The sequence below is a fragment of the Homo sapiens genome, chromosome X (assembly GCF_000001405.40).
Source record: "Homo sapiens chromosome X, GRCh38.p14 Primary Assembly".
NCBI classification, from domain to species: domain Eukaryota; kingdom Metazoa; phylum Chordata; class Mammalia; order Primates; family Hominidae; genus Homo; species Homo sapiens.
Window position 1 is genome coordinate 82,728,543 of NC_000023.11, and position 1,413 is coordinate 82,729,955.

A 1,413-nucleotide genomic window follows, 5' to 3' on the forward strand; every position below is an offset into this window, starting at 1 on the left:
CCCCAGATGAATGGGAAATAGTTTTTTCTCTAGCCCAATCTCATGCTGATAACCACTGGCTTCATGGGCCAGACCTCCAGGAAGACATTAGACCAAGAAGATCCCCAATGGAACTATCAGGCAGATTCCCCAGGTATAGCTAGGTGAGATTACATGGTTTCCTGCCCAGTTGAAGGGTTTAAAAAGGCAGCTCACAAAGCTGTTAATTATGACAAACTTAAAGAAACTACCCAAGGTGAAGATGAAAACCCAGCCCAGTTCATGGCCTGTTTGGCAGCAACACTTAGATGCTTTATCACCCTAGACCCAGAGGGGCCAGAAGGCCGCCTTATTCTTAATATGCATTTTATCACCCAGTCAGCTCCTGACATTAGAAAAAAGCTCCAAAAATTAAATTCCAGCCCTCAAACCCCAAAACAGCACTTAATTAACCTCACCTTCAAGGTGTACGATAATAGAGAAGAGTTGCAATTACTTGCCTCTGCTGTGAGAGAAACCCCAGCCATATATCCAGCAGACAAAAACTTCAAAACTCCTAAGCCACAGCGGTCAGGCATTCCTTCAGGACTTCCTGCCCCAGGATTTTGCTTCAAGTGCTGGAAATCTGGCCACTGGGCCAAGGAATGCCCACAGCCCAGGATTCCTCCTAAGCCATGTCCCTTCTGTGTGGGACTCCACTGGAAATTGGACTGTCCAACTGGCCCAAGTCTCTGACTCCTTCCCAGCAGATCTTCTCAGCTTAGCGGCTGAAGACTGACACTGCCGGATCACCTCAGAAGCCTCCTGGACCATCACAGATGCTTTGGGTAACTCTTACAGTGGAGGGTAAGTCCATCCCCTTCTCAATTAATACAGAGGCTACCCACTCCACATTACCTTCTTTTCAAAGGCCTTTTTCCTTTGCCTCCATAAATGTTATGGGTATTGACAGCCAGGCTTCTAAATCTCTTAAAACTCCCCAACTCTAGTGCCAACTTGGACAACATTCTTTTATGCACTCCTTTTTAATTATCCCCACCTGCCCAGCTCCTTTATTAGGTTGAGACATTTTAACTAAATTATCTGCTTCCCTGACTATTCCTGGGCTACAGTCACACCTCACACCTCATTGCCACCTTTTCCTCAGTTCAAAGCCTCCTTCGCATCCTCCTCTTGTATCCCCACACTTTAACCCACAAGCATGGGACACCTCTACTCTCTCCCTGGCAACTGATCACATGCTCATTACTATCCTGTTAAAACCTAATCACCCTTACCCACTCAATGCCAATATCCCATCCCAAAGCACTCTTTAAAAGGATTAAAGCCTGTTATCACTCACTTGTTACAGCATGGCCTTTTAAAGCCTATAAACTCTCCTTACAATTCCCCCATTTTACCTGTCCAAAAGCCGGACAAGCCTTACAGTTTAGT